Source organism: Homo sapiens, chromosome 18 (genome assembly GCF_000001405.40).
Source record: "Homo sapiens chromosome 18, GRCh38.p14 Primary Assembly".
Taxonomy (NCBI): Eukaryota; Metazoa; Chordata; class Mammalia; order Primates; family Hominidae; genus Homo; species Homo sapiens.
In genome coordinates, this window is record NC_000018.10 from 36154376 (window position 1) to 36169287 (window position 14912).

The window sequence follows — 14912 nt, forward strand, 5'->3', positions numbered from 1 at the left end:
GTCCACATGCAGAACCCACTGACTCGTTTTACACAATATTTTTACATTTTATACAATTTTTATTTAGTTTAATAAATACATAGAACCTAGTGTATACTAGAATTGTCCTGTGTACTTTACAAAAGTAACTCATTTAATCCTCATAATAACCCTAGAAGGTAGGTGCTGTTATAACTGTTTTATTCTATAATTGAGACACAGAAAGGTTAAGTAGTATCTGGCTGCTCAATAAATGATGAATGGAGGGAAATTTCCCACAGTTACTGATTTAAAGGATACAACACATATTTGAATGCTTAAGCTCTTACATGATTGATTGGAAAATGGATCCTATTATTCTGTGATCCGATCTTGTATACTTAGCTTTTCACCTTGCCAGAGGGCTTTAGTCTTCTCTGTTATCAGACGTGAGTGCTTTACTTTGGTGGTAGTCTTTGAGTATTTTGATATGTGATATGAGCACTTCCATTGCAGAGAGAGTGGACTCCAGAGATTGTCATTTCAGGACACTTTGATGGTGTCCAAGACCTAGTCTGGGATCCAGAAGGAGAATTTATTATCACTGTTGGTACTGATCAGACAACTAGACTTTTTGCTCCATGGAAGAGAAAAGACCAATCACAGGTAAAATGTCTTATTTATTTATTTATTTTTTCTTGGGACAGAGTTTCACATCACCCAGGCTGAAGTGCAATGGCACGATCTCAGCTCACTGCAGCCTCCGCCACCCAGGTTCAAGCGATTCTCCTGTCTCAGCCTCCCGAGTAGCTGGGATTATAGGTGCCCACCACCACACCCATCTTCTTTTTGTATTTTTAGTAGAGATGGGGTTTCACCATGTTGGCCAGACTGGTCTCGAACTCCTGACCTCAGGTGATGCACCGCCCCTCCCCCCCCCCCGCCTCCCAAAGTGCTGGGTTATAGGCATGAGCCACTGCAGCCGGCCTCTTCTTATTTTACTAATGTGTTTAAAAGAAAACATCCATGAACACAAGAAAAGTAGGGCAGCCACGCTAGCCATTAGGAAAATGCAAATTAGAACCATGATGAGATACCACCACACACCCTCTTGAATAGCTAAAGTAAAAAATATATTAACAAGTGCTGGTAAGGATGCAGAGCAACTGGAACTTTCATACATTGCTATTGGGGATGCAGAATGATACAGCCACTCTGGAAAACAGTTGGACATTTTATTTTTTGTTTTTTGTAGAGACAGGATCTTGCTATGTTGCTCAGGCTGGCCTTGAACTCCTGGCCTCAAGTGATCCTCCTGCCTCAGCCTCCCAAGTAACTAAGACTACAGGTGTGAGCCACCATGCCCAGCTAATTTTTAGATTTTTTGTAGAGACAGGGTCTTGCTCTGTTGCCTAGTTTCGTTATGTCTTGTAATTTTAGGTTTAATTCATTAGGAAGCATTATCAAGTGTACAATAAAAGCCTGAAGTCATATAGTATTAGATAATAGTAGTGAGGGCAGTTTTTGTTTAAGGAAATTTTCACTGTGTTAGGCACCTAGAATAAAACAAAATGTAAAAGATAGATCCTGTTTTCAAGGAGTTTACCATCTAGCTGTAGGGTAGGGCTATAGGTAGGGGGCAGTGGAACTAATGTTTCTGTAATTATTAGATAAGACCAGTTAATTGCTAAGTGTTGGCCCTGAGCTCAAACAGTTGTAAAACTTCACTACTGGTAAACTTTGAACTGCTATGTGGTAGAGAAAATCAGGATCCTCTGCTTCAGTTTCTGATAGAAATTCACGGAACTGACTGTGGGTCAGTCCGTAAGAGCTAGTGAAGTTTGCCACTAACACTACTGCTTGAGTAACACGTGGTAGATTCAAATAAATAGAGTTGAGAACATTGGGAACAGCATCTATAGTCAACTGAAAAACAAGTCAAATGATTTTGAGTGATTTTTCTGTGGCTCTTGGTAATTTTTACCAATACTGCCCAGTTGTGGTTTATTCATGGATGAATATTTGCCCCATGGTTATATTTCCATTGTATAGTAAATAATTTTCATCTAATAATTTGCTTATTGAAAATTCAGCTTTTGAATGATCATTTTTGTTTATCCCGTTTTACCCAGGTGACTTGGCATGAAATTGCAAGGCCTCAGATACATGGGTATGACCTGAAATGTTTGGCAATGATTAATCGGTTTCAGTTTGTATCTGGAGCAGATGAAAAAGTTCTTCGGGTTTTTTCTGCACCTCGGAATTTTGTGGAAAATTTTTGTGCCATTACAGGACAATCACTGAATCATGTGCTCTGTAATGTGAGTATTTCTCTAAATATTTTACCTAAATCTAGTCACTTCATTTTAAATTTAAAAGGATTTTTGCCTTAGGCTTTAAATGGAATATATGGGTAGAAAGAAAGTAATATTGTTTCTTAATGTAAGATGTGACAAAGTTTTTGTGCACTGTGGGGTGTAATAATTTAAATACTAAAACTAGAAATTTTGTGTAGCAAATGAGCTCAAAATACTACAAAGCTGCATTAGTGTTCAATTGAGACATGAATATGATGTTTTATCACTGTGTTAGGTACCTAGAATAGAACAAAATAAAAGATGGATACTGTTTTCAAGGAGATTACCATCTAGCTGTATGGTAGGGGTAGAGGTAGGGGGCAGTGGAACTAATGTATCTGCAGTTGTTAGATGAGACCAGTTAATTGCTAAATCTTATGGTACTAAAGTAAATTTCATAGAAGGAAGAGGTCATTGTATTGGAATAACGAGAACATGTTTAATGGGACTTGATTTGGGTTTTGTAAGGGTAACTTTCTTTTTTATGTTTATACGCCCTTCTAAGAAAGATTTGAGCTACTTATAAAAGTACATGGATTATAAAAATTATGAAGTAATTTTGAAAGAAGGAAAATTAAGTAGGAAGATAGGTTACACAGAAGTGCATATTATACAGTCCTTCACTTAGAGTTGAGTCACGAATTTGGTTCTGAGCTCAAAAAGGATAAGTACCCTTTTGATAGGCAAAAAGAAGGGGAGAGAGAGGGAGAGAGCAAAGGGAAGAGAGAGAGAGCAAAGGGGAGGCCAGAGCTATTGTGGTACCTGTTGGACTGAAGACTGGATAGAAGTGGGGAGAATGGGGAAAGTCCATGGTGGAAGACTTGGGAGGCAGGCACAGTCTGACTGTGGGGTGCTGTTGGAGGCTCCTACACAAAGAGTGATGAAAAGGATTTTGGAAGAGAGTTATCTGGAAGCCAAGAGACTCTGAAAGCAGTGAAACTAGCACCAGTGTGAGTAAGACTGGAGAAGAAAATGGAATTCATTAGAAATGAAGTAGCCAACTAAATTTCCTGGAATGTATACTCAGCACCTCATGCTACAGGCTTTCTTGATTATGTGAAGAGGATTTAAGATTCTGTTATGCTTGTTTCTAATAATAATGGACAATAGGAACAAGATCAAAAGGGAAGCCTTAATTGTGGTTATTATGTAGAGCTAAGCGTATGGAGGTGGAGGGACAGCTAGTTTCAGGATCTCTTCAGTTCTAGGAATTGAAATGGGGTTTTACGATTCCATGAGAGGCTTAGTCCCAGTTGTACACTTAGTTCTGTGTCCTAAGATACAGGGATCCTGTAGAGTAGCGAGCTGCTTGCTCTCGTTTGGGTTTTGCTCCCATACTAAGTGTTGGGATAGGTATGTAGGAATGCCTCTTACTGTTCTTTTCCATGTTAGTTTTTCTTTGTTTCTGAGATAAAGCATACTGTTTCTTGTGTCCCAGGTAGCCATTTTTGATGGTTTTAAATTCTTACTATTCATGTTTGTGTCTAGTTTCAGCTTCTGTGTTAAAGTCTAAGTTGTACAGAACACTCTTAGCAAATGAGCATGTGCCAGTTTTGATGGTTAGCATATATTTTCACATGTAATAATTTGATTGATATAAATTGCAAAATCTAAGCAGATATTGCCTTTTCAAATGACACTCATACGAAGTTTTAAAATACTCAGTTAGTTAGGTATGTTTAATGAAAATACTATGACTAATGCTGTAACTGTTCCCTTCTGGGAAGCATCTGTGTTTATATGAGCATCATCAGGGGATGTGCCTGTGAGATTATCTTGGAAGTAGAGCTCTGGGCCTTCCATTTTCAGCTCACTGCATTTCCTGTCAGACCCTGAAACCCATTGAAATGTTATGGTTCGATGAGGTCCCTTTATGGATGAGAGGATGCCCGACTTTATGGATTGCATGGGAGTTGGAGGCCTGGTAGGGCTTGTCTGTTGGAGAGTGATTGCTTAGCATTGCATTGTTGGTTCAGGAAGTGAAAGTACGGGTAGACATCCACACAAGATGGTCTTTAAACTGTTTCTCAGCATTTATGAGCGTGACTTTTTTGTAGTGCCTGAAGTAACAGTAACTTTTAGTTTTAAAATTAGCAAATAAAACTTTAGCATTTATAACTTAGATATTATATTTTCTATTCTAGCAAGATAGTGATCTTCCAGAAGGAGCCACTGTCCCTGCATTGGGATTATCAAATAAAGCTGTCTTTCAGGGTAAGGCTTTTGTCTTCAAAATTATTAAACCCATAGTGGTACTTAAACCCCAGTCATACACTTGTGTAATGTCTACCTAATGTTTGTTACAGCTGATTTTTTTTTTAAATCACAGTATATCTTTTCTATCACCTATTTCGTGATAAGTACTCTTTGTACACACTCAGACCACTGAAGTAGATGCAGTTTTCACAAAGCATGTTTTTTCCCTTTTTTTTTTTTTTTTGAGACAGAGTCTTGCTCTGTCACCCAGGCTGGAGTGCAGTGGCGCGATCTCAGCTCACTGCAACCTCTGCCTCCTGGCTTCAAGCAATTCTCCTGCCTCAGCCTCCCAAATAGCTGGGACTACAGGCATGTGCTACCATGCCCAGCTAATTTTTGTATTTTTAGTAGAGACAGGGTTTCACCATGTTGGCCAGAGTGGTCTGGAACTCCTGACCTCAGGTGATCCACCTGCCTTGGCCTCCCAAACTGCTGTTATTACAGGTGTGAGCCACCACGCCCTGCCACAAAGTATGTGTTTTGGTGTTAGAACTACAGATGAGAATGTGGGTAACCTGAAGAGTTGGTTGTGTAGTTTTAAAAGTTTGGAGACTGTTAGATCAAAGAAAATGGAAAGAACCTTTATGGAGTTGATTAATGCTGCCAGGAGCATGTTTGGAAAATACTGGAGTAATGGAAATACTCTTGCCTTTGGAATCACATGGACACAGCTGTGAATTGCACCACTTTGAATTACCACTGCTTTCTATGTGGTGGCCTTAATATTGAGACAAGTGAAGGAGATATAAAAATAGTGACTATATTCTTGATGTGTTTCTTCAAACTAGGAGATATAGCTTCTCAGCCTTCTGATGAAGAGGAGCTGTTAACTAGTACTGGTTTTGAGTATCAGCAGGTGGCCTTTCAGCCCTCCATACTTACTGGTAAGATGTGACAAAGACAATTTAATAAATCGCTAGAACACACAGTATGTTATCTATTGCTGCTGACCTAAATAAGTGCTATAGAATTCACTTTTACATAGAAAAAAATAGCTTCAATTTATTCTAGAGCCTCCCACTGAGGATCATCTTCTGCAGAATACTTTGTGGCCTGAAGTTCAAAAACTGTAAGTTAAACTGTATTTAGCTCTTTGGTCTGATTCTGTCGTAACTTCTGACTTTTCCTCCCCACCCCACAATCTGATGTCTCCTTTTTCTTCCTTCTACCTACCTTTTTCCTCCTCTTCTATATATCTCTTAGTGGCTCTTCATAAGGAATGAGAATTAAACCTTAACGTTTATTTTTATATTACTGTTTATTATGTTCATTAGTTTTGTTTATTCATCTTATTTTTAAAGTAGAGAAGCATAACAATATATATTTTTTCTTTATTAAGAAGACTTGGCTGGGTACAGTGGCTCACACCTGTAATCATAGCACTTTGGGAGGCCGTAGCAGGAGGATCACTTGAGGCCAGGAGTTTGAGACCAGCCTTGACAACATAGCGAGACCCCATCTCTACAAAAAATTTTAAAAAATTAGCCAGGCATGATGATGCATGCCTGTAGTCCCAAGCTACTTGAGAGACTGAGGCTGGAGGATTGCTTCTGCCCAGGAATTGGAGGCTGCAGTGAGCCATGATTGCACCACTGCACCCCAGCCTGGGTGACAGAATGAGACCTTGCCTTGAAAAAAAAAAAAAAGACTTAAGTTTTGTTGTTAGTCATGGTCTTTTTGTCTTTGATGGTTCCTGATGAAGACTTTTCCATGTTTTATTGTTTAGATACTGGCTGGTTGAAAGTAGGAGGTGAAAACTTGTATGTTAATTGTTTGAATGAGTTATATTACTTATAGGAAGCTGACATTTTTCTCCCATCTCCCTGTCTTTCTCTCAAATGTTTGCCTAGACAAACATACAATGTTCCTTAAAAGAATTGTATATTAGCTAGAGAGGTTGATGTTATTCTTTTTACTTTCAAAAATTGTGTGGCATGAGAATAGATTCATTTGCTAATAGTACTTTTTTTCTTTTTAAATTTTAGATATGGGCACGGTTATGAAATATTTTGTGTTACTTGTAACAGTTCAAAGACTCTGCTTGCCTCAGCTTGTAAGGTAGGGAAGTTTACTTTTGATTCTGCTTGGTCACAGGTTATTTGGGTCATCAGGCTCCTGCAAGTTTGGTAATGATTTAGGCAGAACTCTACGTGAAAGGCCACTAGTGCTTGGTTTTTTGAATCTTACTTTCTCAATTTCTCTTACCCTTCTGTCTCTTCAAAAGCTTATGGTTTCATTTTAAGTCTGTTTCAGCTGCACATTTTGAGTTTATCTGTGCCTCCCTGCTAAAAGTGATTTAATCAGGTATCTCAAAATGACACCTGCAATCCCGGCTACTCAGGAGGCTGAGACATGAGAATCACTTGAACCCCAGAGGTGGAAGTTGCAGTGAGTCAAGATCGCGCCACTGCACTCCAGCCTGGGTGACAGAGTGAGACTCTGTATATAAAACAGCGATATCTCAAAATGACACCTAAAAATTTGATGAATTTTAAATAATTGGAGTCATAGAGACACAGGGAAATGAGAAGAGGAAACCTGGAGTGAAATCCATCAGACTGTTTTTTGAGGACACTCTTGGCACTGACCTAAGGTAGATGACTTTTGCATTTACCTGGAAGGATGGTCTTGAATTCATCATTCAGTATTTATCCATATCCTGTGGAATGATATAGCAATTGTGGAGGATTATCCGAAGGGTCTGAAACCCACACATTCGTCTTAAATTTTCTGAAATTTATTTACTTGTTTTAAATATGATGATAAGAGCCGCCCACCTGCATGGGCTTGTGTCCCTGCTTTTAATGTGGATTTATGCCACTGATCTGCATTTTGGACATCATAAGAAATACTGCTGTGCTTCCCCTACACCCACCCCTACCCCACTTGTTTATTCTTTGAAATGGTACTGAGAGGACTTCCTTCTCTTATAGGAGCCTTTGGGAAAAATGGAATTCAGTAGTTCAAATGTCTGGGCTTCTACTGAGCAGATAATTTGTTTCTAACTTAGGGCACTGTCAATCCTGTAATTGATTTTTTTTCCCCCTTTTTAAGTTGATTCACAACAATATGTGTATCCTCTAAACATTTTTTAACAGCTTTATTTAGGGTTATTAACATACTATAAATGGTATGTTTAATGTGAACAATTTGATAAGTTTTGACATGTTTATCCCTGTATAAATCATCACTACAATCAAGATACTGTGTATATCCATCAACCCCCAACATTGTCTGTGCTCTTTGGCAATTCCTCTTTTCTACCTCTCCCTTTCCCCTCCTGCCTCCATCCCTAGGAAACCACTTGTCTGCTTTTTGTCATGATAGAGTAGTTTACATTTTCTAAAATTGTATATAAATAGGATCATGTAAGTATGTACTTTTTTGGTTTTGCTTCTTTCTTTCATCATAATTGTTTGAGATTTATCCATGTTTTTGCATGCATCAGTAGTTCATGCCTTCTTAATGCTGAGTAGTTTTACTTTGTACAGATGTACCACCATTTGTTGATCCATTCACTTATTAATGGACATTTGGGTTGTTTTCCAGTTTTGGGCTTTTACTCATGGTACAGTTATGAAAATTTATGTACAAATCTTTGCATGGATATATGCTTTCATTCTCTTGAGTACATATCTGTGAGTGGAATTGCCGGATGGTATGGTAGATATATATTTAAAATTTTAAGACAATTGACATGCTGTGTTCCGCAGTGGTTATACATTTTTGCAGCAGTGTATTAGATTTCCAGTTGCTGTGCACCCTCACCAGCACTTAGTATCAGTCTTTTTAACTTTAACCGTTCTAGTAAGTGTGTAGCAGCTCATTATGGCTGTGATTTATATTTCTCTAATGATATTAAGCATCTTTTCATGTGCTAATTTTTATCCATATGAAAATATGGTGAAACTATTCAAATCTTTTGCCCATTTATTTATTAGATTGTTTTCTTACTGAGTTTTGAAAAGTTTTTAAAGTTTTTTTTATAGATTTAGGGGTACAAGTGCAACTGTGTTACATGGATATATTGTGTCTTGTTGAACTCTGGATTTTAGCATACCCATCAGCTGAATAGTATACCTTGTACCTTGAGTATTTCATTCCTCAACCCCTCCCACCTTTTTGATTCTCCAGTGTCTACTATTATTTCATGCCATATGTCCATGTATACCCATTGTTTAGCTCCTGCTTGTAAGCAAAGATGTCTGGTTTTTGGCTTTTTGCTTCTGAGTCATTTCCCACTTAGGAGAATGGCTTCTAATTCAATCCATTTTGCTGCAGAAGACATGATTTCATTGTTTTTTATGGCCGAGTAGTAGTTCATGGGGGGTGTGTGTGTGTGTGTGTGTGTGTATACACCACATTTTAAAAATCCAATTATCCATTGATGGACACTGAACAGTTTTTTATATACCCTGGATACAACTTTATCACATGTGCTTATGTAGATATTTTTTCTCAGTGGCTTGTCATTCTCCTAACAGTGTCTTTCAACTAGCAGATGTTTTATGTTTTGGTGAAGTCCAGTTTATCAATTTTTTTTTTTAATTAGGCTGTGTCTTTCTTATATCTAGTCTTTGATTCAAGGTCACAAGGATTTTTCTGCTGTGTTTTGTTCTAGGAGTTTTATGGATTTTTAGCTTTTGCCTTTAGACCTATGATACTTTCAAATTAACTCTTGTATTTGTCATGGAGTATAGGTTAAAACTGATTTTCTTTTATTGTAGATACCAGTTTCAGCATCATTTTTTTAAAAGACTATCCCCTTCATCACTGTGCTTTGTCCCTTTGTCTAAAGTCGGTTGTTCATATATGTGGGTCTGTTCCGTAGACTTTATTCAGTTCTATTGATCTTTTTTGATATGATGCCAGTACCATACTCTGTTAGTAACGATAGTGTTTTAATAATACATCTTGAAATTAGGAAGTATAGAGTTATTTTGCCTATAGTAGATCCTTTATTTTGCATTTTAGAATCAGCTTAAGAGTTTCTGCAAAAATACCTGCAGGAATTTTGATGGAGATTGCATTGATTCTCTAGATCAATTTGGGGAGAATTTTAACAATATTGAGTATTTTGACATATGAATGCAATATGCCTGTCATTCATTCAGGTCTTTAATTTCTCTCAGGATTGATCTTTTTAAAAGTAAACCCTTTATTTTGGGATAATTTTCATTTTTTTCCCCCTTCATGTCACAGTTTTTCATTTTATTTTTCCCCCTCCATGTCACAGTTTTGATCATGGAATAATTTTTCAAGATCTGAGAGCTACAGTGAAAAGGAAAAAAAGAAAGAAAGAAAACATGATACTATAGTCCCTGATGATTGATTTTTTTTAATCCCAATCATCTGTAATTCTTCCCAGAGATAAGAAATGGTTGTAGTATGTTATCTCCTAGGAATTTTTTTTGGAATTCAAACAGATAAATAAAATATACTCATAGAAACAATGTGTTGTTTTTAAAATGTTTTCTCTTCAGTTTATTTTTACTTACTAGCTTCATTGTTTCATCTCTGTCCTATAGGCAGCTAAGAAAGAGCATGCAGCTATCATTCTTTGGAACACTACATCTTGGAAACAGGTGCAGAATTTAGTTTTCCACAGTTTGACAGTCACGCAGATGGCCTTCTCACCTAATGAGAAGTTCTTACTAGCTGTTTCCAGAGATCGAACCTGGTCATTGTGGAAAAAGCAGGATACAATCTCACCTGAGTTCGGTAAAACAGCTTCTGATTGGGAAAGTTATTAGTGAAACAGTTATGTTCATTTTATCTACATTAAGCAGCTTTAGTTAAGAGAAAGATAACAGAGTGAAGGGTAGAGCCTCATGTCTTTGAAGCCTTTCAAAGTTCTTGGATAACTGAGGAAGACTTGACCTTCCTTGTAAGATTTAAATGGAGATGATCTTTATTTGGGTTGACCTACTTGTGATTATGTAGTCAAGATGGCATGCATTCAGATATCTCAGTTCAAGAAACATAAACATCTGTATGTAGGAAGTTAGGTTTTGCAAATGGTGATAGAATGCTACCACAAAGCCTAATGGATAACTTATCCTAAGCTAGGATTTTATGGGACAGGAATAATGAAGATACAACTAAGAAAACTCATGGTTGAGTGGTTTCTTCTCTCTGAACTATTTTATTAATATAGTACTATTTTAAATTATGAAATGTAGAGGAAACCATTATCCTTAGCTTTTTCCTACCCTCTCCAGTCACCTCCTTCATTGAGAAGGGCATATTAGGCATCCATCTGGATAAATGACCCCTGAGCAAGGTGTTAGCCCACCTACCCACATTCTACTCTGAACCTGGCATAAACTGAAAAAAAAAAAAAGAGGACTAAAAACCTTTGTGTAGTTGGGTCAGTGGCCTATTCCTGTTCCCCCAGATTCTTTTGGTGGATAAGTTCTAGAGAGTGTTTAAAGTATATTTGCATTGTTTAATCCTGTTTTAAATTTTTCCATTGATAAGACTCGCATACAGTTTGGTTTTGTGATATTTCTGGTCTCTTTGTTTCTTGTGTTTTAGAGAACACCCAGGGACTGTAAAGTATACTCAGCAATATGTTTTAGAACAGACTGTTTTCTTTTGCATCACTAATCTTTTCCTAACATGCAGCATTTACTGTTTAAAAAGCTAAAGTCCACCAGGCACAGTGGCTCATGCGTGTGATCCCAGCACTTTGGGAGGCCGAGGTGGGCGGATCACCTGAGGTCAGGAGTTCAACACCAGTCTGGCCAACATGGTGAAACCCCATCTCTACTAAAAATACAAAAATTGGCTGGGCGTGGTGGTGCACGCCTGTAATCCCAGCTACTTGGGAGGCTGAGGCAGGAGAAGCATTTCAACCTGGGAGGCAGAGGTTGCAGTGAGCCAAGATGATGCCATTGCACTCCAGCCTAGGCGACAGAGCAAGACCCCATCTTAACAAAATAAAAAATAAGTTAAAGTTGGACGGGTGCGGTGGCTCACACCTGTAATCCTACCACTTTGGGAGGCTGAGGCAGGTGGATCATTTGAAGTCAGAAGTTTGAGACCAGCCTGGCCAATATGGTGAAACCCCATCTCTACTAAAAAAAATGTAAAGATTAGCCAGGCATGGTGGTGCATGCCTGTAATCCCCGCTACTCAGGAGGCTGAGACAGGAGGATTGCATGAACCCAGGAGATAAAGGTTGCAGTGAGTGGAGATCCCACCACGGCACTCCAGCCAGGGCATTAGAGTGAGACTTCGTCCCCCTGCAAAAAAAAATTGTATTAATAACATATTTATTAATTTGTTATATCTTTATGGATTATGGAGTAATAATAGATACGCTCTTATTCCCTCCTCATAAACAGTTATGTGGTTTTTGTTTTTTAGGGTTTTTTTTTTTTTTTTTTTTTTTTTTTTCAGACGGAGTTTCCCTCTTGTTCCCCAGGCTGGAGTGCAGTGGTATGATCTCAGCTCACTGCAGCCTCCGCCTCCTGGGTTCAAGTGATTCTCCTGCCTCAGCCTCCTGAGTAGCTGGGATTAAAGGCACCTGCTACCACACCTGGCTAATTTTTTGTATTTTTAGTAGAGACGGGGTTTCATCATGTTGGGCAGGCTGGTCTTGAACTCCTGACCTCAGGTGATCCACCCGCCTCTGCCTCCCAAAAGTGTGGGGATTACAGGCGTGAGCCACCATGCCTTGCCAACAGTTAGGTGTGTTAGGTTTAGTCCATATAAGGGCTAGAACTTCCCTTACACTTAAATCTTAAAAGGAAAATATTTTCTTAAGATTTCTTTTTTTAAACATTAAGTGGTGCATTAATCTTTTTTCTATAGCCTAATATGCAAATCTGCCTACTTTGAGTAAGGCTAAATAGCTTCAGGCTTCTTCTGTAGGCGTGAGTTGAACTTCAGTTGAGTGTTTGGAAGATGTTTGTCATCAGTCACTAGAGAGTGACCAGTCAGTACAAAAGCATTCCCTACTAGAAAAATAGCTGTGTCCACAGCCTTCTGGTGAGGGGTTGGTTGCCTGGCTTCAGTCTATTTCAAAAGTCAGTGCATATAAATTGAATATTAAGTCATATGGTGTATATGGCACTTAAACATCACTTCCTAACAGGTAAAAACCCAGCTTTCTCTGCTTTGTGAATAGTGTATACATATTTCTTTCAGAGCCAGTTTTTAGTCTTTTTGCCTTCACCAACAAAATTACTTCTGTGCACAGTAGAATTATTTGGTCTTGTGATTGGAGTCCTGACAGCAAGTATTTCTTCACTGGGAGTCGAGACAAAAAGGTAATTATTTAAAAATTTAATATTTTTTCAAATGTAAAAATAATATTTTTATAGGTATGTTTGAATAAAAAATGCATAATCCTGCCTTTCTGTTACAGCTTTTAAAAATCAGCTATGTATTCCTTTCTGTTTTTCGTATATGTACATATAAAAAAAGACTTTTCTTGTTAAATTCTATAAGTAAATTTCTCTGAAATGTCAAAAATATGAGGAGAAGACCTTTCAGACATATGACCTTCATCAAATGGTCCCAGTGGAAGAAGAGTAATAAATGAAATTAATCAAGACCAAGAAACTAGGAGGGCAGCGGGAGGTAGGGGAATAAGGGAAAAACTATTTTCTAGTTTTCTTACTTTTATGAATTTAACATTTTTCTGTAATAAATGATTGTTACCTTTTCATTTGGTGCTAGAAGTGGGTGGAGTATGACTGACCCAAGCTTTAAAAAAAGTCAAAACAAAGTAGCTAGGAATTTTTTTTTTTTTTTGAGACAGGGTCTCGGGTGCAGTGGTACAGTCACGGCTCACTGCAGCCTGGACCTCCTGGGCCCAAGCAATTTTCCCACCTCAGCCTTGGCCTCCCAAGTAGGTGGGACTACAGGTGCTCACCACCATGCCCAGCCAATGTTTTTATTGTGTAGAGATGGGGTCTTGCCATGTTGCCAGGCTGGTCCCAAACTCCTGGGCGCAAGCAGTCCTCCCACTTTGGCCTCCCAAAGTGTTGGAATTACAGGCATGAGCCACCACACCCAGCCTCAGAGTATGTTCTCCAACATGACCTTCACCTTTGTTTTCTGGGAAATGTCCACCTCACCTCTGGTCTTTCCTTTGTTTTCATACTCTTTAAAATATCCTTTTGTTCCTACAGACTAGAGGTGGTGAAGCAGTTTAGTGTTGGCCATTCCTCTCCCTGCCTTCTTTAGTCACAGACAAGGTACAGATCACTGAAGTGGAGTGCTAGCACAGACAGGGTGTCACTCAGGCTAAACACTTACATGTCAACCTCTATGGCAGACTTTACATCTCAGACCCTCCCTTCTGTTCATTTGCCTGTTCTTTCTTTCTTGGCATTGGTGTGCCTGTGCTGTGCTTGATGCTGAGGAAGAAGGACTGCTTTTGTCCCCCACAGTCATACTGTATTAATCTGTTTTCATGCTGCTATGAGGAACTGCCTGAGACTGGGTAATTTATAAAGGAAAGAGGTTTAATTGACTCACAGTTCCTCAGGGCTGGGGAGGCCTCAGGAAACTCAGTCATGGCAGAAGGTGAAACAAACACATCCTTCTTCACGTGGTGGCAGGAGAAAGAAGTGCTGAGCAAAAGGGGGAAGCCTCTTATAAAACCATCAGATCTCGTGAGAACTCACTCACTATCATGAGAAGAGCATGGAGGTAACCGCCCCCATGATCCTATTACCTCCTACTGTGTCCCTCCCACAACATACAGGGATTATGGGAACTACAATTCAAGATGAGATTTGGGTGGGGACACAGCCAAACCATATCACATGCCTATAGAACATGGTCCAGCTGCTACTCTCAGGGATAGGTCAGGGATCCAGCAGACAAAGCAGCATTCGCTGGACATTCTCTGAAATGTACTTCTTCTTGCTTAGACAAAGCCTTCTGCTCAGTATCTTGCTTTGGTTCTGCATTTTGCTACTGTTGTCCACTTCACTTCTCTCTCCATTTCTTTTTTTTTTTTTTTTTTTTTTTTTTTTGAGATGGAGTTTCGCTCTTGTTGCCTAGGCTGGAGTGCAGTGGCGTGATCTTGGCTCACTGCAACCCCCGCCTCCCAGGTTCAGGCGATTCTCCTGCCTCAGCCTCCTGAGTAGCTGGGATTACAGGCACCCACCACCATGCCCGGCTAATTTTTTGTATTTTTAGTAGAAACGGGGTTTCACCATGTGGGCCAGGCTGGTTTTGAACTCCTGGCCTCAAGCAGTCCACCCATCTCGACCTCCCAAACTGCTAGGATTATAGGTGTGAGCCACCACGCTCAGCCTGCTCTCCATTTCTTTGTGACCATTCACACATCCTTGAGGCATGAGCTTCCAGGGAAGCCTC

At 39.0% G+C, this 14912-nt stretch overlaps 1 protein-coding gene across 15 annotated transcripts in view, besides 1 other annotated feature; it reads left to right on the forward strand.

Annotated features, from left to right (window-relative positions):
- ELP2 (elongator acetyltransferase complex subunit 2) overlaps positions 1–14912 on the forward strand; it is a 50659-nt gene that overhangs the window by 24477 nt on the left and 11270 nt on the right. For 11 of the 15 annotated variants that reach the window (NR_137173.2, NM_001242875.3, NM_018255.4 and 8 more), the window contains 8 exons: positions 475–624; positions 2091–2279; positions 4460–4529; positions 5360–5455; positions 5583–5640; positions 6557–6629; positions 10100–10292; positions 12726–12847. Coding sequence is in view for 11 of the 15 variants with exons in the window: in NM_001242875.3 (NP_001229804.1) it covers positions 475–624; positions 2091–2279; positions 4460–4529; positions 5360–5455; positions 5583–5640; positions 6557–6629; positions 10100–10292; positions 12726–12847 (951 nt within the window). In the remaining 4 variants the exon portion in view is untranslated. The remainder of the gene's footprint in view (positions 1–474; positions 625–2090; positions 2280–4459; positions 4530–5359; positions 5456–5582; positions 5641–6556; positions 6630–10099; positions 10293–12725; positions 12848–14912) is intronic. The other 4 variants (NR_040110.3, NR_136897.2, NR_136898.2 and 1 more) reach the window with 3 other exon arrangements.
- Positions 14158–14358: a silencer, noted in NCBI's record as "peak3116 fragment used in MPRA reporter construct". NCBI's record gives its function as "represses an SCP1 promoter by STARR-seq MPRAs in K562 erythroleukemia cells {active_cell/tissue: K562}" and the evidence as "EXISTENCE:reporter gene assay evidence [ECO:0000049][PMID:32103011]".